The 2,323-nt window shown below is 41.7% G+C and overlaps 1 annotated feature.

The window, feature by feature from the left end:
- Nucleotides 1,957–2,076: a silencer, noted in NCBI's record as "silent region_11897". NCBI's record gives its function as "represses an Ori minimal core promoter by ATAC-STARR-seq in GM12878 lymphoblastoid cells {active_cell/tissue: GM12878}" and the evidence as "EXISTENCE:reporter gene assay evidence [ECO:0000049][PMID:35858748]".

Below are 2,323 nucleotides of genomic sequence, written 5' to 3'. Positions count from 1 at the left end.
TCTCTCTTTTGGGTTAGGTTCAGGGAGGGGCTTGTAGCTCAAGCCAGTTCAACATGTGGTCCAACACACAAAAAACTGTATATTACTAATACTAAATTAACTAAATATTACTAACATTTCTTCCTTATTTCTCAGATCCCAATAAATGAGGAAATTAGAGTGAAGAGAAAATAGGAGTAGGATTGTAAGGGGTAAAATTGGTGTGTAGAAGTATCTACTATAAATCCCGTGCCGTTTTTAGAGATCCTCTTGAGCTTCCTGGTAGCTAAAGCAAAAAGTAACCAAAACAAGCAATTAATTATGAAAATGAGCAGGTTGTTCCTTAAGCGAAGCCCACTTTCTTGGCCAAGAGGCCCAAGCCTTATAATCCCCAGTGATATTTGTCCACTAAACACAGCAACGATGGCATAGCATACATTTTAAAGCAGGCAAATTCCATTTTTACTTATTTCTTTTTATTTCATTATTTAAATGATGAATGTGATATTCAATATTACATGTCATTAGGGAATTGCAAATTAAAACAAAAATGGGATACCATTATACACCTATTTGGATGACTAGAATCCAAAACTCTGACACCACTAAATGATGACAAGAATGTGGAACAATAGGAATTCTATAGGAATTCTTATTCATTGCTAGTGGAAATGGCTGCAAAATGGTACAGCCTCTTTGAAAGGCAGTCTAGCCTTTTTTTTTTCTTTTTTAAACAAAACTAAACATACTCTTACCATATGACCCAGCAATTGCACTCTTTGGTATTTTCCCAAAAGAGTTGAAAGATTCCATCTATAGAAAAATCTGCACATGAATGTTTAGATTAATTTTATTCATAATTGCCAAAACCTGGAAGCAACTAAGATGTCCTTCAGCAGGTGAGTGGATAAATTAATGTGCTACCTGCAATAACAGAGTATTATTCAGCCATAAAAAGAAATGAGCAATCAGGCCACAAATAGACATGGAGGAACTTATTAATAAAATGCATATTGCTAAGTGAAAGAAGCCAATCTAAAAAAGCTACTTACTGTATGATTCCAGCTACAGTATATGACATTCTGGAAAAAGTAAAACTATGGAGATACTACAAAGATCAGTGGTTGCCAGGGGCTTGAGGGGAAAGAGGGAGGACTACGTGGAGCATTGGGGATTTTTAGGGCAGTGAAACTGTTCTGTATAGTTACTGTGATGATGGACACATGACATTACGCATTTGTCAAAACCCACAGATTGTACAACACAAAGAGTGAATGCTAATGTAAAGTATGGATTTTAGCTAATAATAATATATCAACGTTGGCTCATCAATCATAACAAATCGACTACACTCATAGAAGATGTCAGAAGAGAAAAGGAGTATATGAGAACTCTTTGTATTTTCCACTCAATTTTTTTTGTAAACCTTTTTAAAACTGCTCAAAAAACTACATTAATTAGATAAAAATAAGATGCATGTATCGGTGCTCCTGGAACTGCAAGACACGAGGGCATGGACTCAGCACCTTCAGGCAGGGCCGGTTTCCCTTTCTTGCCTTCGTTTCACAGAACCAAGGACCCTGTAAGGCTTGCAGGAAGGGCTTCCCGACCCAGCTGCAGTGCGGGAGCGAGGTTTCACGAGGACAGCAAGCCGGGGGTGGGGGACGCCAGCACAGAAAAAAGGCGCCCCCAGCACCCTATGCTCGGCGCCGCACACCGGTTTGCTTCCATGCAGGTCCCTTTAACAGCTTTTCATCTCGGGCTTAGTCACCCTCAGGTCAGTTTCTGTTACCTAAAAAATGGTAAAAGGTGCCACTTTCAGAGAAGTCACTCAAGGCAAACCTCTGCTTGTGTTGGCTAGTGTTCATTATAAGTTCCATTCCGTAAAATCGGTAAACGGAGACTCAGAGACCACATCCCACCGCAATAGGAGTCAGAGCGAGGATTCAGCCTGGCGCTAACCCGGCGTTCTCCGCTTCACGCTGCGCGCTCGGCTGGGTCCGGAGCCGGAGCCCTCGCCGCTCTCCGCCTTCCACCTCCCGGCCCTGGAAGCCCCGCCCCGCGACAGCTGTCGGCTCCGCCTTTCCCGGCCGGGTCCGCTACTGAGGCTTTCAGCCCCCTCCGCAAAGTCGAGTGGCTGGGAGCTGTGAGTTCACGTGTACTTTGCACCAGAACAATGAAAACGTAATAAAAAAAATTCTTTCTAGATGTTTCTTGAAAAAAAAAAAATCCTAAAGACCCATCTCCGAAAGTGTACAAGCAACAAGAACAGATGTTGTTTAACAGGCTTGTAGAACATTCCCATAAAGTTACAAACATATCTTTCAGAGGTTACTAAAGATAA

This window comes from Homo sapiens, chromosome 2 (assembly GCF_000001405.40).
Source record: "Homo sapiens chromosome 2, GRCh38.p14 Primary Assembly".
Classification (NCBI taxonomy): domain Eukaryota; kingdom Metazoa; phylum Chordata; class Mammalia; order Primates; family Hominidae; genus Homo; species Homo sapiens.
This window is presented reverse-complemented; position numbering and strand designations above follow the sequence as displayed.